The sequence below is a fragment of the Homo sapiens genome, chromosome 12, assembly GCF_000001405.40.
Source record: "Homo sapiens chromosome 12, GRCh38.p14 Primary Assembly".
Lineage (NCBI taxonomy): Eukaryota > Metazoa > Chordata > Mammalia > Primates > Hominidae > Homo > Homo sapiens.
Window position 1 is genome coordinate 100,224,995 of NC_000012.12, and position 27,701 is coordinate 100,252,695.

The window sequence follows — 27,701 nt, forward strand, 5'->3', positions numbered from 1 at the left end:
ACTCATTTGGGCTATATCTTCAGCAGAACAAAATTTATCCAGGACAAAGGATAGCTTATAAAGTCTAAGAAAAGCTGGGTCCACAGCCTTAAGAAAGATAAAAACCAGAGTAATTTTAGAAATCTTAAGTTACAGAAACAGGGACAGTCCTAGAGCCCTGCCATCAAAATATCTCAGCTCCTGTATTTTCTATCTTATGTCATTGTGCTCATGAATCAAATTTCTAGCAGTGTTTTCCCCTAACTAGGATTATGTTCCTACCCTATGGCTCTAGGGACTTTGATTGACAATCCTGCTATGATGGCCTAGAGTCAAAGAGTCTCTCAAGGAAAACTCAAGTGAAAAGATGAATGCTGGTCAGGGTGAAAGCTGTCCACTTACAGTCATAGATTATATTGCTTTAGGGCCTGGTCATTCCTTCCTAGGCCTAGACTGGTTATCATTGCAGAGTTGCAAAGTGACCATGTTTGTGTGATACCCGGTTACTGGCATATAATCTGTGGACAGTGCAGCAAGAAGATGCTGGTGGTACAAAAGAAATTCTTGCAACCAAACAATATAACTGTGCTAGAAGTTCAAGGTGATGTCAATGGAGGTAAAAAGGTAAGTCCTCATTTAAAGTCCATTACCTGTCTGGACCTCATCCTGGATGGCAGAATGCCAACCAGGTGTTTTTCCTTTGAGAAAATGGGTCATTCCTCAAAGCTGCCTTTGTCCCAAACATGCCCCAGCCTGATGTTTACATTCTTCTGAGAATAGTGTGTATGTGTGTTTTCACATGCTTATTACAGTAAACTAATTTCTATATAAATTAGGTCTCATAGTGCTCATTTTGGAGCCACTATAAATTGGTGTTTTTGTGTGTGTGTTTTTGTTGAGATGGAGTATCACTCCATTGCTCAGGCTGGAGTGCGGTGGCAGGATCTTGGCTTACTGCCACCTCCGCCTCCTGAGTTCAAGCAACTCTCCTGCCTCAGCCTCCTGAGTAGCTGGGACTATAGGTGCATGCTGCCACTCCCAGCTAATTTTTGTATTTTTAGTAGAGACGGGGTTTCACCATGTTGGCCAGGTTGGTCTCGAACTCCTGACCTCGTGATCCACCCGCCTCGGCCTCCAAAAGTGCTGGGATGACAGGCATGAGCCACCGTGCCTGGCCCTACAAATTGATTTTTGACATTAATGAACATAAACCCTAATCTGTTATCACTAGGATCAAAGCTTTCATCCATTTCAACACCTATCTAATTTTGAAACTTTATTGCTAAATATAGATGTTGTTTTAATATGTTTGATTTCAAAGAACACTTTTAATATTAGCTCTATCTGGAGACAGTATAGGTCGTAAAAAATTGGCTCTAAATAGTAATACTGGAGTGACACTTTAAAGATATGTATTGTTGTGGAAAAACATTTTTGAATTTTTGAATTCAGTAATGATTGCCTCAACATAGCAAACTGATCATGTTCACCTATTTCTCTACCTGTTCCAAGTCACATTAAACGTCCGCTGCAGGGGGGAGGGAGGTACATGAGGGAGGAATACACAGGGTGCATTTCAATGCTATTTGTGATATAGTATTTCTCAAGCTAGATGTTGGACACTGGGTATTCATTTTATTAGAGTCCATATTATGTGCATGACAAAATTCTGTTATCTTTTGTAAGATTAAATCCATAATTCTAGTAAACAAAAAGAGTACTACTGATGTGGAGAAGTGTCTAAAATATGGAAAACAAATATGATTAGATTGTTAGAGAAACAAGAAAACCCATATCCCAAATCAGGGCAGGAGAAAACTACCAAAGAGGTAAGAACAATTCCAGAGATATTTTAATCTCAGGACAAATACAGAGAGTAGGAGAAGGCTGGGCATGGCGGCATGTGTCAGCAGTCCCAGCTACTCAAGAGGCTGAGGTAGGAAAATTGCTTGAGCCTAGGAGTTTGAGGCTGCAGTGTGCTACAGCTTCACCTGTGAATAGCCACTATATTTCAGCCTGGGCAACATAGTGAGATCTTGTCTAAAAAAAAGAGTAGAAGGAGATCATGGGTTAGCCACTAAAAGATTGAAACCTACAGCTGTGCCCTATTCCCTGTCTTGTTATTGAGGCTGGGCAGTAAAAGGGGTTAAAGTGTAAAGGTTGGAAAGGAAAGACTAGAACCTGAAATAATTTCATATCCCCTAAGGGCATCAAAGTAAGAAAAAAATTTTAACGGAGCAGTGGGTTGTGTCACTGAACTCTGATTAAAGCCAAGAGCTTGGACCTCATTAGAAAGAATTCAGACAGGGCAGGGCCCTAGGGAACTCAGCACATCTCCCTCTTGTTTCCCTCTCACCCCCCACCAACAACCAGAGGCAAAACACCAAATTAGAACTTGGATTGGCCAGGCATGGTGGCTCACACCTGTAATCCCAGCACTTTGGGAGGCTGACGTGGGTGGATCACCTGAGGTCAGGAGTTCGAGACCAGCCTAGCCAACATGGTGAAACCCCGCCTCTACTAAAAATACAAAAAATTAGCCGGGTGTGGTGGCAGGTGCCTGTAATCCCAGCTACTTGGGAGGCTGAGGCAGGAGAATCACTTGAACTTGAGAGGCGGAGGTTGCAGTGAGCCGAGATCGTGCCATTGCACTCCAGCCTGGGCAAAAAGAGCGAAACTCCGTCACACACACACAACAAAAACCAAAAAAACAAAAAAACTTGGATTCACCCATGGGTAAACAGGAATTCAGAAATGAAAAAAAATGAGCAGACAACCAAGCATTAAATATTTGAGGGATACTTATCACCAGAGAGGCCCCAAATCTAACAAGAATGAATCCCTAAGGGAAGAAAATAAAGGAAAAAACAAAAACTAATATCCTCTAAAGGACTGATGGGGTCACTGTATCTATTGTAAAAAGAGCAGGTTGCTATAACAAAAATAGTTCTTAGAAATTAAAAATAAGTTATTAAAAATAGCTTTTGGGCCGGGCGCCTGTAATCCCAGCAATTTGGGAGGCCAAGGCAGGCAGATCACCTGAGGTCAGGAGTTCAAGACCAGCCTGGCCAACATAGTGAAACCCGTTCTCTACTAAAAATACAAAAACCAACTCAATGTGGTGGTGCACACCTGTAATCCCTGCTTGGGAGGCTGAGGCAGGAGGATTGCTTCAACCCAGGAGGCGGAGGTGGCAGGGAGCCGAGATTGTGCCACTGCACTCCAGCCTGGGTGACAGAGTGAGACCCTGTCTCAAAAAAAAAAAAAAAAAAAACTAAAACTAAAAATAAAAAGACAAACTTTTGCTTAATAGATGGATTGAACAGCAGAATGGACACTAGTACTGTGCTGAAAATCTGGGCCAGGTGCAGTGGCTCACCCATGTAATCCCAGCACTTTGGGAGACTGACACAGGTGGATGGCTTGAGCCTGGGAGTTCAAGACCAGCCTGGGCAACATGGTAAAACCCCGTCCATACTAAAAATACGAAAATTAGCTGGGCAGGGCAGTGCATGCCTGTAGTCCCAGCTACTCGGGAGGCTGAGGCACGAGAATTGCTTGAACCCAGGAGGTGGAAGTTGCAGTAAGCCAGGATCACACCACTGCACTCCAGCCTGGGTGACAGAGACTCTGAAAAAAAAAAAAAAAAAAAAAAAAAAAAAGAAAAGAAAGAAAGAAAACGAGAAAAGAAAAAAGACTGAAAATCTGAGTTAGAAAGAAGCTGAGGGAATTTTCCCAGAATGTAGCATAACTGAGCTAGCACTGGATGGCTGGGGAAAGAGGCTAATCAATGTCCACAGTGTATGCTATGCTGTCCATCTAAATATTAAGAGCCTTACCTACAGAAGACGGCTTTTGATAAGAAAGCTTTTGATAAGCTTTCACACAGGAAACAAATATCCTTGCATTTGGGGCCTATTCTGAGTTTGTCCACATACTTCCCTAAAGCTTCTGCTTCCCAAGTTTCTTTTTTTTTCTTTCTTTTTTAAAATTTATTTTTATTTCTTTTTGAGATGGGGTCTTGCTCTGTCGCTCAGGCTGGAGTGCACTGGCATGATCCTAGCTCACTGCAGCCTGGAACTCCTGGGCTCAAGTGGTCTTCTCACCTCAGCCTCCAGAGTAGCTGGGACTAAAAGCTTGCACCACTACCGCTGGCTAATTTTTTTATTTTTATTTTTAGAGACAGGGAATCTCACTATGTTGCCCATGCTGGCCTTGGACTCCTAGCCTCAAGCAATCCTCCTGCCTTGGCCTCCCAAAGTTTTGAGATTATGGGCCTACGCCACTGTTCCTGGCCTAGGTTTCTTACCTTGTAGTTGTCAAATCTCTGACCCTTTGGTCAAACCATTAACTGTCATCTCTACTCATGTCTTCATGTAAGTTGAACCACCAGAAATATTGCTCTGATGTCTCCCTGAGATAATTTCTCCTCCGCACTGTGGATTAGGTGTGCTCAGCAGGATGTGCTGCCATCAAGTGGAAGTGGCATATACAGGACTGGACTCAGACTGGTCTTAAGGACATGAGTCAATTTTATGAGCTACTTACTCTCAGTTTCTCAGGAGGCTGATGCAGGAGGATTGCTTGAGCCCAGAAGTTCGAGGTGGCAGTGAGCTAAGATCGCACCACTGTACTCCAGCCTGGGCAACAGAGTGAGATACCGTCTCTTAAAAAAAAAATGTTTTTTTTGGCCGGGCGCGGTGGCTCACGCTTGTAATCTCAGCACTTTGGGAGGCCGAAGTGGGTGGATCACAAGGTCAGGAGATCGAGACCATCCTGGCTAACACAGCAAAACCCCATCTCTACTAAAAGTACAAAAAATTAGCCAGGCGTGGTGGTGCATGCTTGTAATCCCAGCAGAGGCAGTGAGCTAAGATTGCACCATTGCACTCCAGCCTGGGCGACGAGAGAAACTCCGTCTCAAAAAATAGTAATAATTTTAAAAAAAAAACAGTTTTATGTAAATCATACTCAGAACACTGGCTACAAAGGAGCTGGAAAATGAGGTTTTTAGCTTTCTACTCTCTGAAGTTTAGGAAGACACACTATAAGGAAGTTACACTAAATGTTGAGCAACAGGAGCTGCAGTCCCTGGTCAAACCAGTATTCAACGCCTGGGGGCAAAATAGAAACTTTTGGATAAACAAGGACTCAAAGTGCCACTCTTGAGACAATTTCTGAAAGAACTGCTTAAGGATACAGTACTGTAGTAAGATGACAATGAATCTAAGAAAGGAGGGTAAGCATTCAAGAAAACAGTAGGGGCCCAGCAAGATGGTTTACGCCTGTAATCCCACCACTTTGGGAGGCAGAGGCAGGAGGAGCACTTGAGCCCAGGAGTTAGAGGCTGTAGTGAGCTATGATCATACCACTGCACTCCAGCATGTGTGACAGAGCAAGACCTTGTCTCTAAAAAACAAACAAAAACACAGTAGGAAAAAAATAAATCAGGAAAATTAATTTGAATAATTATAGAAGCACTAAAGAGTTAGCAATTGAAATACTGAATTGTGTAATTTTATAATTTGTGTATCTTATTAACACAAAACATTTTTCAAATTGTGTTCACTCACATTTTCAATATATATTTAAATATATATTTATTCAATTTTTTTTTGAGATAGAGTTTCGCTCTTGTTGCCCAGGCTGCAGTGCAATGGCACGACCTTGGCTCACTGCAACCTCCGCCTCCTGGATTCAAGTGATTCTCCTGCCTCAGCCTTCTGAGTAACTGAGATCACAGGCACGCGTCACCATGCCCGGCTAATTTTTGTATTTTTAGTCAAGACGGGGTTTCACCACGTTGGTCAGGCTGGTCTCGAACTCCCGACCTCAGGTGATCCGCCCACCTCGGCCTCCCAAAGTGCTGGGATTACAGGTGTGAGCCACGGCACCCGGCCTTCAAAATAGTTGAATTGCTAGTTATACCCCTTTTATTCTGAAGTATAAGCCCTAAACTAACTTAAAATAGTTTCTAGTGACAATCTTTTTTTTTTTTTGAGAATGAGTCTCGCTCTGTTGCCCAGAGTGGAGCGCAGTGGTGCGATCTCCGCTCACTGGAACCTCTGCCTCCTGGGTTCAAGCAATCCTACCTGCCTGCTTTAGCCTCCCCAGTAGACGGGAATACAGGCGCCCGCCACACCTGGCTAATTTTTTTGTATTTTTATTAGAGTCGGGGATTCACCATGTTGGCCAGGCTGGTCTCGAATTCTTGACCTCAAGTGATCCAGCCGCCTTGGCCTCCCAAAGTGCTGTAATTACCGGTGTGAGCCACTGTGCCCGGCAAATTTTTTTAGAGTGTGTGTGTGTGTGTGTGTGTGTGTGTGTGTGTGTGTGTGTGTGTGTGTGTCAGGGTCACATTCTGTCATCCAGGCTAGAGTGCAGTGGCTCAATCACTCCTCACAGCAAGTGATCTTCCCACCTTAGCCTTCTGGGTAGATGGGACTACAGGTGTCCACCACCACGCCTGGCAAATTTTTTGTAGAGATGGGGTTTTGCCATGTTGCCCAGGCTGGTCTCCAACTCCTGGGCTCGAGCAATCTGCCTGCCTCAGACTCCCAAAGTGCTGGTATTACAGGTGTGAGCCACCATGTCTGGCCCCTAGTGACAATCTTACAATAAAACACACAACAAATAAAACAAAGGAATAACTTTATCAAAATATCTTTGTCAATTTTAATGTTTTATTAACTTTTTGTTGCTAATTTAATGGTTAGTATTTAGCATCCTTGAGCCATCTTTAAAGCACCTAGTTTTACTCTGAACTTGCACTTTAAGAATTAGGAAAATGGTGAAACCCTATTGCTACTAAAAATACAAAATTTAGGCAGGTGTGGTGGGTCACGCTTGTAGTACCAGCTACTCAGGAGGCTGAGGCGGGAGAGTCGCTTGAACCTGAGAGGCAGAGGTTGCAGTGAGCTGAGATCACACAACTGCACTCCAGCATGGGTGTCAGAGAGAGATCCTGCCTCAGAAAAAAAAAAAGAATTATTAGGAAAATGTCTCATATATTCATTTTTAACTTTCGAAGTATCATATTCTTTCTGACAAAAGGTTAAGTGGTTTCATATTTTTAGCCTAAAGGAAAATGCTAATAGAAACTTGAGTCAGTGAACAGTTGTGTAATTAGAAGTCTTTGCCAGGTGCAGTTGCTCACGCCTGTAATCCCAGCACTCTGGGAGGCCAAGGCAGGCAGATCACCTGAGGTCAGGAGTTTGAGACCAGCCTGGCCAACATGGTGAAACCCTGTCTCTACTAAAAAACAATGCAAAAATTAGCCAGGTATGGTGGCACGCAACTGTAATCCCAGCTACTAGGGAGGCTGAGACTAGAGAATAGCTTGAACCCAGGATGTGGAGGTTGCAGTGAGCCACGTTCGCGCCACTGCACTCCAGCCTGGGCGACAGAGCAAGACTCCGTCTCAAAAAAAAAAAAAAATCTTTGTATATGGGTTAATTAACATAATTTATATACCTCACAACTCCAATGTGACGGTTAAATTTCAGAGTTTCAAGCTCCATCTCAGTAAATTAATTTATTAGGTATGGAAAGGCGTCATTGTGTAACAAGCACTCCAGGTGATTCTGGTGCAGGTAGACCTTGGGCCACTTTGAGAAACACTGGCCTAAGGCTGGGCACGGTGGCTCACGCCTGTAATCCCAGCACTTTGGGAGGCCAAGGTGGGCGGATCACCTGAGGTCGGGAGTTTGAGACCAGCCTGACCAACTTGGAGAAACCCCATCTCTACTAAAAATACAAAATTAGCCAGGCGTGGTGGCGCATGCCTGTAATCCCAGCTACTTGGGAGTCTGAGGCAGAACAATCGCTTGAACCTGGGAGGCAGGAGGTTGTGGTGAGCCGAGATCGCGCCATTGCACTCCAGCCTGGGCAACAAGAGGGAAACTCCATCTCAAAAACAAAACAAAACAAAACAAAACAAACACAAAAAAAGAAACAGGCCTGGCGGGTGAGAGGATAGCACTTATTAAAATAGTGTAACCTGTGACAGGCAATGTATGTACATATCATTTAATCCTAACTGCAACAATTGTATACTAGCTCCATTTTGCAAATGAGAAAACCTAGGTTCAAAACAACGAGTAAACTGTTCAAGGTCACATTAGGTAGTGGACTTGCGAGTCAAACACAGGTGGGTCTAATTTTGAAGTTTATGCTTTACCACACCTTCAATTTAGATGTTCACAAGTATCTCACCCTAAACATATCAAAGTTAAATTTACTCTCAACTCCTCATCTTTCTAACCCAAGCTGCCACTCCTATATACATACATATATATAATTTTCATGTATGCATATGCATACAGCCCCCTGAAAGATGGAAATATGTATAAAATGTTCTCGGCAACCCAGTCCCTTTAAACATTCTCGTCCCTCTTCCAGAGATGCTGTTACAAATTCTAACTCCCATTCAGATTTCACGACCAACTTTAAATACTGCTTCTCTTTCAGATGCCATAATAAAATAGTTGTATAGAGTTCTGTCTTCATACCTCTATACATTACTACGTTGTTAATGTCATGTTTATGTTCTTTGTATTAGAGTTACTTTTCCAAGGGTGGGACTATGACATCCACTTTATGTCTCCTACATCATACCTGGCATAGCTGAAAAGCTGAATGATTATACTCATGAATGAATTATTAGGTAGCATCATTGGTTATAGGGTTGCTAAGCATCAGAGATGAGGCTTCAGCCCCAACTTTTTTGGTTTTTGTGTTCCAAAAATCTTTTTAGCATGCAAGGAATCAGCAAATAGAAGCACTTGCAATCTACTTGTAGAGTGTACCGGAAGGAAAGATTTCCAGGAAAAAGATCTCAATAACAGATTTCAGTCTTGAATTCTTTATGTATAAAAGTTATATAAGAAGAAAAACGTTTTGTCTCAAAAAAAAATTTTTTTTGGAGTTAGAAAATCTTTTATGAGCTTGGGCTACATGGCGAAACCCTGTCTCTTAAAAAAAAGCTAGCTGGGCTTGGTGGCATGTGCCTGTAGTCCCAGCTACTCAGGAGGCTGAGGTGGGAGAATCACTTGAACCCAGGAGGTTGAGGCTGTGGTGAGCCATGATTACACCACTGCACTTCAGCCTGAGTGACAGAGTTAGACCCTGTCTCCAGAAACAAACAAACAAAAAACCAAACTTTTATTTATGTGGATAGTACCTGTCAACAAAAAAAATTGTTCAATGATACTTGTTAAAAGATGATTTTATTCAGGACCATCAAAATAGGTACAGGGACCACTGCTATGGGATTTTGCAGTCAGAGAGAGATACTAGCCTCAAATCTGGGTACGGCATGGCCAAGTGGTGGGAATTTATAGCCAAGAAGCAGGTCAGGGGTCAATGAATGGAAAATTACTCAGAGAAAAACCTCAAGGGTAAGGGAGATTCTGGCTGAACTGACCTAACAGGATTCTCGCTGAAGACTGGCCAGGATGATGACACATAACCTTTGGGGAATGATGAAGGATGAGGAACCTGATTGGATATTGAGTATGATCAGATATTGACGGTGGGGGCTTCTTGCTAAACTGACACAGCAGGGTTCTTTGCTAAAATGGGATTTTACAAGGAAGAGCACAGATGGGACTAGAAGAAGATTCAGGAGCCTGACTAAAGTTTGGTCAAGCAAACAATCTTTGTCATCTCGTAGAGACCGAATAATCTAAGAAGTTTAAACAGTCTCAAGTGTTATGAATCAGACCGTTAATGGTCATGGAAATTTACTGAATATTCTATCAGGAGCAAAGCTTTCCAGTAATTGAAGCTGGATTTATTTATACAGAGAAAAAAATGCTTTACACGTAAGTCCCTCCAAACTGTTTAGCCTAACATTGAATGATGATACCCTTGGGAACTTAATTCTTTTTAAGCCTAATAACTGTGCTTTATGAAGCTGTCACTAGGTGGCATGGCAATGCTTGGTTAGAAATTTCCCTTTGGAAATTAATGCCTCAGAACCTTCAAAAACTATTCAGTAGAAGTCAGTTTCTTTGTAAACAAGTTTCATTGTTTACAAACGTTTCACTGTTTACAAGTTTCATTGAGTAGTAGTATGGATGTATGTGTGTGTATATATATATATGTATATACACATACATATACATATATATGTACACGTTGATAAAAATAAGCTCCATTAGAGAATGTTGTAGGAAATACTCAATTTAAATGATAACAAAATAAGATATTTAAAGTATGCTTAACAACTCTGACTTCTGGTAATTCTATTTCTAAACTATATTTTATCCTAATCTAGAATACTCATCTGATAGTATTTTCCCTTTTAACCCAAACAGGTCAAATCGTAAATCCAGGTCTATGATTCCAGAGCCCATATTCTTTTTTTCTTTTAAGGTTTTTTTTTTTTTTTTATTCTCTTTTTAAAAATTCTTCATTTCCATAGGTTTTTGGGGAACAGGTGGTATTTGGTTACATGAATAAGCTTTTTAGTGGTGATTTGTGAGATTTTGGGGCACCCATCCCCCCAGCAGTATACACTGAACCCAATTTGTAGCCTTTTATCCCTTACCCCTTTCCCACCCTTTCACCCCCAAGTCCCCAAACTCCACTGTATCATTCTTTTTTTTTTTTCCCCCAAGATGGAGTCTTGCTCTGTCACCCAGGCCGGAGTGCAGTGGCATGATCCCGGCTCACTACAGCCTCCATCTCCTGTGTTCAGGCAATTGTCCTATCTCAGCCTCCCAAGTAGCTGGGATTACAGGTGCCCGCCACTGCGCCTGGCTAATTTTTGTATTTTTAGTAGAGACGGGTTTCACCATGTTGGCTAGGCTGGTCTTGAACTCCTGACCTTAGGTGATCCACCTGCCTCAGCTTCCCAGAGTGTTGGGATTACAGGCATGAGCCACCATGCCTGGCCCACTGTATCACTCTTAGGCCTTTGCATTCTCATAGCTTAGCTCCCACTTATGAAGGAGAACATACGATGTTTGGTTTCCCATTCCTCAGTTACTTCACATAGAATAATGGTCTCCAATCCCATCCAGGTTGCTGCGAATGCCCTTAATTCATTCCTTTTTATGGCTGCATAGTATTCCATTGTATGCATATACCACACTTTGTTTATCCACTTGTTGATTGATGGGCATTTGGGCTGGTTCCGTATTTTTGCAATTGTGAATTGTGGTGCTATAAACATGTGTGAGCAAGTATCTTTTTGGTATAATGACTTCTTTTCCTCTGGGTAGATACCCAGTAGTGGGATTGCTAAATCAAATGATAGTTCTACTTTTAGTTCTTTAAGGAATCTCCACACCGTTTTCCATAGTGGCTGTACTAGTTTACATTCCCACCAGTAATGTAGAAGTGTTCCTTGTTCACCACATCCATGCCAACATCTATTTTTTTTTTATTTTTCTATTATGACCATTCTGTGGGAGTAAGGTAGTATTGCATTGTGGTTTTGATTTATATTTCCCTAATTACTAGTGATGTTGAGCATTTTTTCATATGTTTGTTGGTCATTTGTATATCTTCTTTTGAGAATTTTCTATTCATGTCCTTAGCCCACTTTTTGATGGGATTGTTTTTTTCTTACTGATTTGTTTGAGTTCCTTGTAGATTCTGGATATTAGCACTTTGTCAGATGTATAAAGATTTTCTCCCACTCTATGGGTTCTCTGTTTACTGTGCAGACTGTTCCTTTTGCTGTGCAAAAGCGCTTTTGTTTAATTAAGTCCCACCTATTTATCTTTGTTTTTATTGTATTTGCTTTTGGGTTCTTGGTCATGAAATCTTTGCATAAGCCAATGTCTAGAAGAGTTTTTCCCATGTTATCTTCTAGAATTTTCAAAGTTTCAGTTCTTAGATTTAAGTCCTTGATCCATCTTGAGTTGATTTTTGTATAAGGTGAGAGATGAGGAATCCAGTTTCATTCTCCTACATGTGGCTTGCCAATTATCCTAGCACCATTTGTTGAAGAGGGTGTCCTTTCCCCACTTTCTGTTTTTGTTTGCTTTGTCGAAGATCAGTTGGCTATACGTATTTGGGTTTATTTCTGGGTTCTCTATTCTGTTCCATTGGTCTATGTGCCTATTTTTATACTAGTACCATGCTGTTTTGGTGACTATGGCCTTATAGTATAGTTTAAAATCAGGTACTGTGATGCCTCCAGATTTGTTCTTTTTGCTTAGTCTTGCTTTGGCTATGCAGGCTCTTTTTTCTTTCCATATGAATTTTAGGATTTTCTTTTTCTTTTTTTTTTTTTTTGAAACAGAGTCTCGTTCTGTTGCCAGCCAGGCTGGAGTGCAGTGGCGTGATCTCGGCTCACCGCAACCTCCACCTCCCAAGTTCAAGTGATTCTCCTGCCTCAGCCTCCCAAGTAGCTGGGACTACAGGCGTGTGCCACCACACCCAGCTAATTTTTGTATTTTTAGTAGAGATGGGTTTTCACCATGTTGGCCAGGCTGGACTCGAACTCCTGACCTCAGGTGATCCACCCACCTTGGCCTCCCAAAGTGCTGGGATTACAGGTGTGAGCCACTGCACCTAGCCTAGGATTTTTATTTTTTCTAGTTCTGTAAAGAATGATGGTAGTATTTTAATGGAAATTGCATTGAATTGTAGACTTCAGAGCCCATATTCCTGTTACCACATCACAGATTCTCCCTCACGAACCCACTATTTACAGATGGACAGATGACTGTTATCCATCGAAGAGTTGGAAGGTACCTTTGGTATTATCTGGCCCAATCTTAAAAAATTTTTTTTAATTTATTTCATTTTTTATTTCTTTGTTTCAACCTTAAACTATTAAAGGAATAGCTCGATCTTAAAAATACAAATCTGTGCATGTGTATTTTTATTTTAGAGATTTTTAAAAAACTGAGGCTCAGTGCAAAGATATTTGTCTAAGGTTATAATTTTCTGAACAGCAGACGCAACAACATGGTAATATCCTTAAAGCATTTGTCAAAGTATCCACCATTCATAGTGATGACTAGCAAATCCCTACCTGATTCACACTGAACATTAAAATGGCAACTTTCCAAATAAGGAGACTTCTATCGAAGAGGGCTTGGTGGCATGTTTCCAATATTTTCCCGGTATCTCTTCAGGTACCCTCTCAGGTCTTCCACTGGAAGTATACTAACTTCCTCCCCAACTTAAAAAAAAAAAATATGCAGATTAGGGCAGTTTTATCTTCCAGTGTCATATAATTGGGTTGCTTTTTTTTTTTTTGACAGAGTCTCGCTCCATCACCCAGGCTGGAGTGCGATGGCACCATCTCGGCAACATCTGCCTCCCGGGTTCAAGCAATTCTCCTGCCTCAGCCTCCCAAGTAGATGGCATGCACCAACACTCCCGGCTAATTTTTTGTATTTTTAGTAGAGACGGGGTTTCACCATGTTGGCCAGGCTGGTCTCGAACTCCTGATCTCAGGTCATCTGCCTGCCTTGGCCTACCAAAGTGCTGGGATTACAGGTGTGAGCCACCACACCCAGCCTTTCTTTTTTTTTAAGTAGGAAGAACTTAAAAGTCATCTAGCTTAGTGCTTTTTTTTTTTTTTTTTGCCCAGGCTGGTGTGCAGTGGCATAATCTCAGCTCACTGCAACCTCTGCTCCTGGGCTCAAGTGATCCTCCTACCTTAGCCTCCTGAGCAGCTGGGACTATAGGCACCCACCACTGTACCTGGCTAATTTTTGCATTTTTACTAGAGATGGGGTTTTGCCATGTTGTGCAGGCTGGTCTTGGAACTCGTGGGCTCAAGGCATCTACCCACTTCAGCCTCCCAAAGTGCTGGGATTATAGGCATGAGCCACCACATCCAGCCAATGCTCTTATGTTAATATAACATTGGGATATTTAATAGTTTATCCATAAGGTAAAAGCAAAATTTAGGAAATATATAAATATACATCAATAAAGACTTTTAGATTCTTGAACCCAGTGGTTCTTACTGTGCTTGCGCCACAGCCCTCGTGAAAATTTGCTGACAGCCATGGATTGTCTTCCTAGAAAGATGCCATAAGCACAGATACACAAAAAACTGCCTACAGTTTCAGAAAGTGTATTGTACTTTGGCCCTTTGAAACCTTTTCACAGACTCTTAGTTGAGAATTTTTGTTTGTTAGTTTTTTTGAGACAGAGTCTCTCCCTATTGCTGAGGCTGGAGTGCAGCGGTGTGATCTCAGCTCACTGCAACCTCCACCTCCTGGGTTCAAGCAATTCTCCTGCCTCAGCCTCTCAAGTAGCTGGGATTACAGGTGCCCACCACCACACACGCTAATTTTTGTATTTTTGGTAGAGATGGGGTTTCACCATGTTGGACAGGCTGGTCTCAAACTCCTGACCTCAGGTTATCCACCTGTCTTGGCCTCTCAAAGTGCTGGGATTACAGATGTGAGCCACCACACCTGGCCAATAATTTTTTTTTTTTTGAGACAGCGTTTCACTCTATTGCCCAGGCTGGAGTGCAGTGGTACACTCATGGCTCATTGAAACCTTGAACTCCTTGGCTCACGTGATCCTCCCACTTCAGTCTCCTGAGTAGTCAGAACTACAGGGTACACCACACTCTGCCCAGCAATTAAAATTTTTATTTTTATTTTTGTAGAGACAGGGTCAAACTATATTGCCCAGGCTGGCCTTGAACTCCCAGTCTCAAGCAATTCTCCTGCATTGGCATCCCAATGTGCTGGGATTATAGGTGTGAGCCACCAGGCCAAGCCTTAGCTGAGAATTTTTTTTCCCCGCAAGACAGGGTCTTGCTGTGTTGCCCAGGCTGGCCTCTAACTCCTGTGGTCAGCCAGGCACAGTGGCTCACAACTGTAATTCCAGCACTTTGGGAGGCAGAGGCAGGAGGATTGCTTGAGGCCAGGAGTTTGAGACCAGCCTGGGCAATATAGTGAGACTCCATCTCTACAAAAACAAACAAACAAACTAAACCTCCTGGGCTCAAGGGATCCTCCTGCTTCAGCCTCTCAAATAGTTGGGACTACAGCTACATGCCACCATGTCTGACTTCTTAGTTGAGAACTTTGAAACTAAGCATTCTAATTCAAGATGACTGATAAAGGTTTTATACAAAAAGATAAAACTGATGACATCTGTCTAATATAGTTTATTTTTTCAAGAATTTAATTAATTATGCTTCTGTTTCCCTGTGATCAACAATATAAATTAAGATGACCACAAAATACTTTTTTCCTTCTTTTTTTTGAGACAGGCTTCCTTTATTGCCCAGGCTGCAGTACAGTGGTGCAATCATAGCTCACTGCAGCCTAAAACTCCTGGGCTCAAGAGATCCTCCCACCTCAGCCTCCTGAGTAGCTGGGACTATAGGTGTGGGCTGCCACACCTGGCTAAATTTTTTTTTTGTAGTTTTTGTAGAGATAGGGGCAGGGTCTCACTATTACTCAGGCTGGTCTTGAACTCCTGGACTTAAAGCAATCCCCTCTCCCTGGCCTCCCAAAAGTGCCGGGACTACAGGCATGGGCCACCAAGGTTGGCCCATAAGAATTTTTCTGTGTAAAACTTCCCATAGGTATTGAATCTGTAACCTCTGCTACATTAGGGAATGATGCCATAGAGTGAACTAACCAATTTAAAACAAAGAAAGAGAGAGAAGCAGGCAAGAAAAAAGTGAAAGAGCTGGAAAGAGAGAGAGAAAGAGGAAAGAAAAGGAAGGAGCAGAGAAAGAATGAGAAGGAAAGAAGATAACCATAAAATATGGACTGAAGAAGAATTAGAGAGAGAAATCACAGTTTTGATGTTTACGAATTTTTAATTTGTGGCCTTTTAAATCTACTTCATGTGGCCGGGTGTGGTGGCTCACGCCTGTAATCCCAGCACCTTGGGAGGCTAAGGTGGGCAGATCACCTGAGGTCAGGAGTTCAAGACTAGCCTGGCCAACATGGCGAAACACTGTCTCTACTAAAACTACAAAAATTAGCCGGGCATAGTGGCAGGTACCTATAATCCCAGCTACTCGGGAGGCTGAGGCAGGGAGAATTGCTTGAACCCAGGAGGCAGAGGTTGCAGTGAGGTGAGATGGTGCCACTGCACTCCAGCCTGGGACAGAGCAAGACTCCATTTCAAAAACAAAACAAAACAAAACAAAACAACTACTTTATGCATCTTTCCCTATTTCAATGATTCACAGTTATTTAAGTTACAGCAGGTTAAGGGGGTTGCTTGAAAATAATCATATACTAAGGAAAATGCATGCTTTCTTCAGAGAGCTTGTGTATGAAAAGCTCCTTTCCTGTGGAAAAAAAAGGAAATTAACTGTACTAGATCCCTAATAATAGCAGCACATTTATTAAGTGATTTTAGCAGCATAATTAAGTGAATCAGCAAACATGAAGGCTAACTTGTATTCCTTCTTAAAGTTAAAAACTTCCTTAACATATTTTAAGCATGATTAAATTAAAAGTAATATTTTATAAAAATAAAATAATGGCCAAGTACAGTGACTCATGCCTATAATCCCAGCACTTTAAGAGGCCAAGGCAGGAGGATGACTTGAGGCCAGGAGTTCGAGACCAGCCTGGGCAACATAATAGGACCCCTGTCTCTACAAAATAAAAATAAAAAATAAAACACTTAAAATCCTTTGAGATTATGCTTTCTCTGAAGTGTAAGTATGGCAATTTGAGAAAACCACCAGAGAATTGTTTATATTTACAAATTGTAGTTTCTTGTATCAGAAATGTTAATTCAAAGCTTCTGGATGGTGTTTTTGAAATTCCTTAATTAATTTCTTTTTTCGTTTCAGAGAGATGCTGGGGTTACTATTAATCTCAAGAGCCAACTGGTGTAGATACTGAATTGTCCTTCCCTTCTGCTTTTCAAACTCCTTGTATGTCAAGGGTTGGCAAAACGTAAAGCCTGGAAAAAAAAAAAAAAAACAAAAGAAAAAGAAAAGTACCACTGGAAAAGCAAGTTAAAAAACCAACTAAACTGTACTTATCCAAACTGGTCTTACGGTATGTTACCTATGCCTAGGCTTTCTTTGTTCCACAGTTTCTTTCAAAAGTGCTTTTACTTTAGCAAAACATACATGATTTTATTTTACATACATTATTTGATCTCTAAAATAACTAGAAGCAAGAAACTAGTATCCCAGTTTCAAGAGAAATACATAAAAAATTTAAGTGACATGGCCAATAAGTTAAAGGCATGTTCAAAACATGAACAAAGAATGTCTGAATTCTATAGCACTGCTTTTTCACACTGCTCTGTGAGCTGTCTTAGCATGTACAGTCAACCTATGCTGATTTACAGAGGAAGCCACCATAGCCTCCACACTCACCAAAGCAGTTCTCAGAGTTAATGTCTGAAACCCTGAAGACCATTACTATGAGGGCTTTTTTTTTTTTTTTTTTTGCCTATCTTCACTATAATAGGATACACCTATGGAAATAGCCTGGAATTACACTGCCTCTGAAAACTTACGCTCCTATACTCAACTCTCTACTCGGAATCTACATTTTTCAAATAATAATAATATCTTACAATGAATGCTTACCATGTGTCAACCTTTTGGTACTTTTTCTCATTAAATCTCCAGTATCCTAAGCTGTAGATGTGTAGCTGTTATTTTCAGCCATACCTTAAAGATAAAGAAATAAAGCTTGACCACATGGCTAGAAAGTAGCTGAGTTAGGATCTGAACCCAGGGTTGTCCATTACTGGGGCTTGGTGTCTTCAACACTATGCTATGCTGCCTTTGGCTCTCTGTCAACTTTCTTCAGTCTCAGAACATGAAACCTTGATGTGCCAGTTTTAGCATACTTCTAGCATTTCTTCTTTCCCATCCTGAGTCCATCACATATCTGAACACTTGAGCCACTGCTTCATCAATATGTGTCCTTAATTCTCTTGCACACCTATCCTTCTGCAACATGCGACAAAGCAAAATCCCAGCTCTTAATCAATGCTCTAATCTACTGTGTCCACTCCAACATTCAAGGAAATACAGTAATTCACCCTTATTCCCAGAGGCTACATTCCCCAGTGGGTGCATCCAACTGCAGGTGGTACCAAATCCTATATGTACTATGTTTTTTCCTATATATACATACCTATATTAAAGTTTAATTTATTAATTAGGCATCATAAGAGATTAACAGCAATAACCAATAATAAAATAGAGCAATTATAACAATATATTAGAGTAAAAGTTATGTGAATGTGGTCTCTCTTTCTTAAAATATCTTATTGTACCATACTCACCTATTTTCTAACTGTGGAACGTGAAACCACAGATAAAAGGGGGGGTACTGTAAGTGTTGAAAAAAAATACCGTCTAATCGGTACCACTAAAATTTAGAATCTCCTGCTTTATGTGGTGCTCAGAATTATGCATCAATCCCTGTACTTAAACTTTCTCAACTCCCCTAACCATCTATTTCAAACTATTCCCTTCTTCTCATGTCATCCATTCAGTGCTCCCCTTGTAAACCCTCAGACAATATGGTCTCCTCCTACTTTATCGAGGAAAATGGATTCATCACTTAATAGTATCCCCCAACTTCCTACCCTTGGCACTACACATTTATTTACATCCATATACGCTCACCTTTACTCTAAAATCCTTCCTCCTGTTCCAGGAAAACCCTTGATCCTATGCCCTCAAACTAATTACCTCCTGCCTCCTCCAGGGCCTGCCTCCACCAGCATCTCTTTTTTTTCAATACCCCCTTTCTTCTGATGCCTTCCTCTCAGCAGATCAGTATGCTAAAATCTCTCCCTTGACCTTGCACTGCTCTGGTTATTGCCCAGTTCCTCTCTTCCCCTTCTCATCATACATCCAGTCTTCATTTCTCTACCCATTCTATCCTTCTCTTCCCACTGCAACCTGGATTTTGCCTCTCAAGTGATTAAGATAGCTCTAATTGGCTCCACATATCCAGTGGCCGTTCTGATCTTCCAATACATGGAACCCTCCATCCTAAAATGTTATATTTCTTTGGCTTCATGGCATGACTTCTTCTCATTGCCTTCCTAACATATTTTTCTCTCATTCATAGGTTCCTCTTTACTCACCCCTTGACTATTGATGTCAAAGTTTTATCCTTGAACCTTTACTTAGCACAGGCAGAGGTGTCTCCCTCTCTCTCTCTCTCTCTCTCTGTGTATATATATATATATATATATATATATATATATATATATACACAAAATACAATAAAATACAATTTTATTTTATGGTTTTTTGGTTTGTTTGTTTGTTTGTTTTGAGACAGAGTCTCTCTCTGTCGCCCAGGCTGGAATGCAGTGGCGCGATCTCGGCTCACTGCAAGCTCTGCCTCCTAGGTTCACGCCAGTCTCCTGCCTCAGCCCCCCGAGTGGCTGGGACTACAGGCACCCGCCACCAGGCCAGGCTAATTTTTTTGTATTTTTAGTAGAGACAGGGTTTCACTGTGTTAGCCAGGACGGTATCAATCTCCTGACCTTGTGATCCACCCGCCTCGGCCTCCCAAAGTGCTGGGATTACAGTCATGAGCCACAGCATCCGGCCTATTTTATGTTTGAGACAGGGTCTTGCTCTGTCACCCCAGCTGTAGTGCAGTGGCGTTGATCATGGCTCATTGCAGCCTGGACCTCCTGCAGCGATCCTCCTGCCTCATCCTGCTGAATAATTTTTTATATTTTGCCTGGCTAGTTTTTTATTTCTATTTTTGTAGGGATGGGTTCTCACTATGTTGCCTAGGCTGCTCTTGAACTCCTGGGCTCAAGCAATCCTCCTGCCTCAGCCTCCCAAAGTGCTGGGATTGCAGGTGTGAGCCGCTGCACCCAACCCAGATATTTATTTTTAGCTCCTCTCTCTCCTCTGAACTTCCAAATTGTACATCTAGTTGCCCTGCTGAAAATCTCAACCACAACGTCCCATGCTTATTTTATTTATTTATTTATTTTATTTATTTTTTGAGAGGGAGTCTCACTCTGTTGCCCAGACTGGAGTGCAGTGGCGCAATCTCAGCTCACCACAACCTCTGCCTCCCGGGTTCAAGCGAGTGTCCTGCCTCAGCCTCCTGACTAGCTGGGACTACAGGTGTGCACCACCATCCCCAGCTAATTTTTGTATTTTTAGTAGAGATGGGGTTTCACTATGTTGGCCAGGCTGGTCTCAAACTCCTGACCTTGTGATCCGCCTGCCTTGGCCTCCCAAAATGCTGGGATTACAGGTGTGAGCCACCACACCTGGCCCCATCCTTATTTTAAATCAAAAGCCCCAAACAGACTCCATCATTCCCCTAAATACGGTGGTAGTCACCCCACCTGGAAACCTGGGATTCATATTTGAGTCACTTTTCTGTTTTTGGAGACAGGGTCTCGCTCTGTCCCCCAGGCTGGAGCGTAGTGGCGAGATCTCGGCTCAATGCAACCCCCACCTCCCGGGTTCAAGCAATTCTCATGCCTCAGCCTCCCAACTAGCTGGGATTACAGGCACCCACCACCATGCTGGGCTAATCTTTGTATTTTTAGTAGAGACAGGGTTTCACCATATTGCCTAGGCTGGTCTCAAACTCCTGACCTCAAGTGATCTGCCTGCTGCGGCCTCCCAGTGCTGGGATTACAGGCATGAGCCACTGCATCCCGCCGAGTCACTTTTCTTCGTAACCCACAAGTGAAATCAATTGTTGCCAATTTTACCTCCTAAATATTTCTCAAACTGTTCCTTCCTCTTCATCCCTCATGCCTGTGCATTGTACAGGCCTACATAATTTCTCACTGTGTTGTCATAGTAGTCTCCCAACCAGGATTGCTTCCAGTCCTCCAGGTCAATCCATTCTCTACACTGCTGCCAGCACTCTTTATCTAAAATACAAATCTGGTCGTATCACTTCCTTAAAAATAATTTTTAATGCCTTTCCAACTGCCTAGAGACTTGGTAGCTAAATATGGCCCTTCATAAGATGATACCTATCAATCTCTCTAGTTTCAATTTCTGCTATCTCCTTGGCAGCAGTTTCTTATTTTATTTTATTTTTATTTTTAAATTTTTTTGGTTTTCTGAGACAGAATCTCACTCTGTCACCCAAACTGAGTTCAGTGGCATGATCAAGGCTCACTGCAGCCTTGACCTACTGAGCTCAAGCAATCCTCCCACATCTGCCTCCCAAGCAGCTAGGACCACAGGCATATGCCACTACGCCTGGGTTTTTTTTTTTTTTTGTCATTTTTGTTTCATTTTGTTTTGCCTTATGCCTGACTGCTGTTTCTAGTGCTTACCTATTTTTGCTCACACTGTTCTAATTCTTTAAGCTCCTATTCTTTAAGACTCCTATTATGCGTTATCTCTTCTACAAGCTTTGATTCCCTCAGACTAGGTGGTCAGGTAATCCTCCTCCAAGCTTCCATAATCTCCTCTGGCTTGAACATATCCCTGTCAGATTTTTATGATTCATTGATATGGCTGTCTCTCATTCATCAACTCTTTCACTGAATTTAGTCAACAAATGTTTATTGAACATCTACTATGTGCTAGTCATTTTGAATGTTAGAATGTGAGCTTATTGCAAGCAGGGGCATTATCTTATACCTCTTTGCATTTTGTGGTGCTTATACAAGTTCTGGCACAACTATAGAGATTCAAAAAATGTTAAGTGAATAACTGAATGAATAGATGGACAGACAAATCCTGGCTGTCAGAAGCATTTTAAATCAATACTCATGAATTTCAAGTAATCAGGCCAGGCACAGTGGCTCATGCCTGTAATCCCAGCACTTTGGAAGGCCAAGGCGGGCGGATCACTTGAGGTCAGGAGTTCGAGACCAGCCTGGCCAACATGAGGAAACCCTGTCTCTACCTAAAAATATAAAAATTAGCTGGGCGTGGTGGTGCTTGCCTGTATTCCCAGCTACTTGGGAGGCTGAGGCAGGAGAATCACTTGAACCCAGGAGGCGGAGGTTGCAGTGAGCCGAGATGCGCCATTGCACTCCAGCCTGGGCGACAGAGTGAGACTCTGTCTCAAAAAAAAAGAAAAGCAAAGAAAATAAATTTCAAGTAAGTTACAGAGAAAAAAGCATACAACACAAAGCATGGAGGCAATTTAAAAATTTAAAGTTGTTTACTGATATACTCTGACAGTTTTACTGAGTAAGAGATAAGTTTCAAGAAGAGATAAAATAGGTAAGCTATTTAAGGAAAAATATTATCAGAAAACTCTTTACTTTCCAAGTGCTTGTAGCACATAGCATTGTGCAAAACACTTATATTTATAATCTCCCCTTAGTGTTTTTTTTTTTTTTTTTTTTTTTTTGAGACAGAGTCGTGCTCTGTCACCCAGGCTGGAGTGCAGTGGCATGATCTTGGCTCACTGCAACCTCCGCCTCCTGGGTTCAAGTGATTCTGCCTCAGCCTCCCAAGTAGCTTGGATTACAGGCATGCACCACCACACCTGGCTACTTTTGGTATTTTTAGTAGAGATGGAGTTTTACCACATTGGCCAGGCTGGTCTCGAAGTCATAACCTCAGGTGATCTGCCCGCCTTGGCCTCTCAAAGTGCTGGGATTACAGGCATGAGCCACCGCACCCAGCCTAGCATATATTGTTGAATAGAAATAAAGAGTAAAATGCTGACAATCCTTCTATTTTCCTCAAAAGTCAAAAATAATGAAAAGTTGAATGTGAAAAGATAATGCAGTAACGGCAGCCATTTAATGTTTGCTTTGAAATTAGCCAGATAAGATTAAATTAATCCAAAAGATTCTAAGTACTAGTTTCAGAATACTTCATTAGTATCATTGTTTAATTACACCAAATAGGATGCATGTGGCAACATACTTGTTGCCATATACTCCGTATTCAAAGAAGAGAATGAGAGAAAATAGCATCTATTAGCTGAGAAATTCCAAGCAATTCAAGCAAGTACACTTATGCCCTCCTCTGTAAATGTTCTTTCCAACAATTAATAATGCCTTTGGATGATTTTTGCCCTGCCACAACCCTTGAAACATCTTTTTAAAGAAAAAAAATCACCGATCTTTCTAGTTCACCAAGTTACGCAACCTCTCTAAGCTTCAGCTACCTCCCCTATAAAATCAAATAATAATAATATTAATATGCCTACACAGATTATTGTGAAGATTAAATAATTTCATAAGTCTATGTTAATCTTCGACACAGTTTCTGACACATAGTAGGGCTCAGTATATGTGTCAGCTAATGTCATATTCAGATATATTAATCATAATTAATTACAACCAGCATTATATATTAATAGAATATCTAATATCCTATTAATAGCATAAATATTAAATATCTAACTGCACAAAGAAATAGATATTATCATTCCCATTTCGTAGTTGAGGAAACTGAGGCAAAAAGGGGTTAAATGACTTGCCCAGACAATTTGGTGCTGGCACTCACAGATATACCTATTAGGCTATTTTGTTTCCTGCATGACAATCTTAGTAAACTTGGATTAAAAATACATTATAGTTTTAAACAATTATAAGTTAAAACATAAGATCAATAGCCTAAAGACACTGAATGAAAAGAATCATGGAGTCTATTCAACTGGGGGCCAGGCTACTCCTCTATAAAATTTGATCCTTCCCCTAAAAAAGAAGCAGGCAAGGGAGAGAGGATGAAAAACAAGAAAAAGAATCTGAGAGAGTCAGAAGAAGATACAACAGAGAGCACAGGAGCAAAGAAGCAGGCATGTGGGTGATAATTGAAGGGGAGGTGAGAATTGGGAGCAGCAGTGAGAGACAGAAGGTTCCTGCCTTCTTAGTAGAAAAGGTAAATAAAGGGTTTCAAAAAAGAACTAGAGAAGAACTTGCCCTGGAGATACTAAAAAATAACCTTCCTGTAACCACTTTTTACAACATTTTACATATATTTATTACATACTCATCTTTGATGCCTTCCCAACTCATTTGGCAACAACAGTCACTTAATGATAAAGGAGGAACAAGCTGGAATCCATACCTGATATGGCATCTGCATCTTCTCCATGTAGAAGCTTCTTAAGTTTCTTACTAACCAGATCCAATAAAGTAACTGGTGTCTACACAAAACAGGTATTTTCAAAATATTTAATATGATTTTTTTCTAGCCAGCATTTCAACATAGAAAGAAAAACATCTCAATATTTTTGACCAATGAGTAGAGGGAGAGGATTGTAGATGAGTGGAAAGGGTGGGTGGTAGAAGGCCTCTGAATCATAAATTCTTGAAATTTTTTTAGCACTCTTAAAATCTTATTTTCTGCCTTCATGTGTGTACTGTATTTAAAATTAGGTTAACCCATCATTAGTGAAATGTTCTCCTATAACAATAAAAATTATTTGTAATTTACAGCATTTATTTAAATAACATTACATTGTAATTACACAGTCCATATGTAAATAGTAGCTCTAAAATACACTAAAATTATTCTCCTAAAATAGGCAAATAGGCCAGGCGTGGTGGCTCACACCTGTAATCCCAGTACTTTGGGAGGGTGAAGTGGGAAGATCGCTTGAGTCCAGAAGTTCAAGACCAGTCTGGGCAACACAGCGAGATCCCATCTCTAATAATAACAACAAAAACCCCCAAACAAAATAGGTATACATTCCTTTCCTAATTTGGTTATACCAAAGGTAATCCCAGACTACTATATGTATCTGGAGAAATAATCCATTGACTAATAATACTGTTACAGAGGGCATGCCCTAGCCCTACCAATCCCAAAGCTCACATCTAGATAGCTCCTTCATCCTGGCTCGCAGGCTACCTTTTCATTAGCTTCCACTTGTCCTGCCACTTTCCAGCCATGATGCTGCCCCCTTTACTTCATTCTGTCATTCTATAAAAACTGAGTGAGTGATTTAACGTTATGTGCCAGGTACTGTTACAGGTGATGAATGAGTAGATCAAGTTCCCGAATTTATGGGAAGTTACATTCTCATAGGAGAGAAAGACAATTTAACAACAACAAAAAAATAGGCAAATACATAATACATATAATCTCAGGTAGTGATAAGTGCCACTATGAAAACAAAGCAGAGAAAGAGGCCAGAGTGAAAGCAGTGGCCAAAGGTAGACAGCACAGGGACAGCCCCGTAACAGGAAAAAGCGTGGCATGTTCGAGAGCCCCTATCATAAATATCCCCACCTCAGCCTCCCTGAAATGTATCAGCCTCTAATCTCTAGAAACCAACTATCAGGGCCCTTCTCCCTGCTTCCTGATTTCCATATCCCCACTTCCTCCAGCCCATGTCAAGTTCCTTTTCTCCATTTGTGGCCTGGTACAAAATTTGAACCAGTATGTTTCTGTTTTTTTAGATGGAGTCTTGTGCTGTTACCCAGGCTGGAGTGCAGCGGTGCGATCTTGGCTCACTGCAGCCTCCGCCTCCCGGGTTCAAGTGATTCTCCTGCCTCTGCCTCCCAAGTAGCTTGGATTACAGGTGTCCACCACCATGCCTGGCTAATTTTTTTTTGTATTTTTAGTAGAGACTGGGTTTCACCATGTTGGCCAGGCTGGTCTCGAACTCCTGACTTCCAGTGATCCACCTGCCTTGGCCTTCCAAAATGCTGGGATTACAGGCATGAGCCACTGCACCTGGCCTGAACCAGTATGTTTCCTTATGACACTGCTAGTTGGAACATGAAGGGGGAGGTAGAAAGATGAAAAAAAATCCTTCCTAATGTCTGTACCATGTGTAGGAAAGAGGCAGATTCATTTATGTAGAGGAGGGGGTAGAGTGAGAAAGAGGAAAGCAGAGAGAAGCTGAGTAGTACAGAAGAGGAGAGAGGAGAGAAGTGTTCTTTCTAAATTGCTAGTTGAAATCTGGGACCCATTTTAGCAGGTAAACTACATATGAGAAAAACTACATATGAGAATTTTACTTTAGTGACTGTAGCATAAAACATTTACATAACCTGGGCCCTTACTACCATCTATTATTTATTTATTTGGATGAAAAACTAGGTGTAGAGTACCTAACAACTGACTTACAAATGACCTTTTAAAATATGTTTCATTCAAAATTCATGAATGAAACATTTTTTAATGTTTAATGTTAATGGGACTGCCTCTATTGTATATACTTAGTACCACCTTTTTCTTGTAAATAATGGAAAAAAAAGTTCAGTTAAGGTCACAGAACTGTTACAAAATTTGGATCAATATGTTGCATTATGACATGAGACAAAAATTTTTTTAAAAATAAAATGGGGTCTTGCAATGTTGCCCAGGCTAGTTGCAAACTCCTGGGCTCAAATCATCCCACCCCAGCCTCCAGAGTAGCTGGGGTTAAAGGCATGTATCACTGTGCCCAGCTAGACACATTTTTAAGCCAGAAAACAGAAGAAAGGGAATTCTTTATAGAGGCTTTGGAGAAATAACACCATTGAAAGTATTCATACTATTGTCTGGTACTAAAATATAATAGTGAGGCTAAAAAAAAACTATTTCAAAAACGTTTCAAAATAAGAATATGACCATGTTTTACTAATGCTACTGCTACTCCTAAGTGTTTTGTTTTGAGACAGGGTCTCACTCTGTCACCCAGGCTGGTGCAATGGCTTACTGCAGCCTCAATCTCATGGGCTCAACTGACCCTCCCACCTCAGCCTCCCCAGTAGCTGGGACCACAGGTGTGTGCCACCACCCCTGGCATTTTTTTTTTTTTGAGGCGGAATCTTGCTCTGTTGCCCAGGCTGGGGTGCAGTGGCGCAGTCTTGGTTCATTGCAACCTCCGCCTCCCAGGTTCAAGCGATTCTCCTGCCTCAGCCTCCTGAGTAGCTGGGATTACAGGCACGCGCCACCACACCTGGCTAATTTTTGTATTTTTAGTAGAGACGGGGTTTTGCCATGTTGGCCAGGCTGGTCTTGAACTCCTGACCTCAGGTGAGTCCACCCACCTGGGCCTCCTAAAGTGCTGGGATTACAGGCATGAGCCACTGTGCCCGGCCTGTTATCTTTCTGTATAGATGGGGTTTTGCTATGTTGCCCAGGCTGGTCTCAAACTCCTAGGCTCTAGTGATCCACATGCCTCAGTCTCCCAAAGTGCTGGGATTACAAGTATGAGCCACTGTACCCAGCCAACAAAACGGTTTTAAGTCTGCTTTCTTCTCTTTTGTGGGTGTGGGGAGTCAGCATTTCTTCAAACTTTGCACATTATAGGTACTTAGTAAATTATTTACTAAGTGAATGATTTGCTTTTCTGCTTGACACAAGTAGCTTAGTAATAAATGTGCCCAGGCAAAATGCCAGAGATACCTTGAAGAGCTCAGAGTGGTACTCCAGTGGAAACCAGACCAGTTGTTCTGCCCGCACTTTTAATAATGATTTGGCTTGCAAAACTGATTTGGCAAGAGTTTTCAGGACCACTGTTTTATTATCATACTGTAAACAGAAAGATTAACATTAGCATAAATGGTTTTTAGAGGAAAAAAATAGCAAAAAAAAATGGCAAAACTTATTGCAAAATTTTTCACCTGTTTTTGCAACTTGTAGGCATTGGGCTCTGATGCCATTGCCATAAAAGTAAGTAGCCGTCGTAATTCTTCTCTAATGTTCAGCAACAGCAATCTTAGATATAGTTGTGTTGCTTCAAGTGCTTCTGCTCTTTTCTCATTTTCTGTTATATAGGTTACAAAGAAAACAAAGCATAAGATGAAAAATGGAGAGTATAGTAAGTATTTACTTAGTAGTCAATTAAAATGCTACAATGTTGTATTAGTTTGCAGGTTCTTTTCTACAATTAAAATTTTTTATTATGGAATATTTCAAACACACA

The 27,701-nt window shown here is 41.3% G+C and overlaps 1 protein-coding gene across 23 annotated transcripts in view; it reads right to left on the minus strand.

The window, feature by feature from the left end:
• Positions 1-6,640: 6,640 nt before the first annotated feature.
• The window catches only part of DEPDC4 (DEP domain containing 4), a 50,338-nt gene continuing 29,277 nt past the window's right edge, over positions 6,641-27,701 (minus strand). For 6 of the 23 annotated variants that reach the window (XM_017018783.2, NM_001387210.1, XM_047428275.1 and 3 more), the window contains 4 exons: positions 27,400-27,542; positions 27,182-27,307; positions 23,906-23,984; positions 12,804-13,123 (listed from right to left, as the gene is read on the minus strand). In XM_017018783.2, the coding sequence (XP_016874272.1) occupies positions 13,023-13,123; positions 23,906-23,984; positions 27,182-27,307; positions 27,400-27,542 (449 nt within the window). In that variant the 3' untranslated portion in view covers positions 12,804-13,022. The other 17 variants (NM_001387211.1, NM_001387209.1, NM_001364818.2 and 14 more) reach the window with 9 other exon arrangements.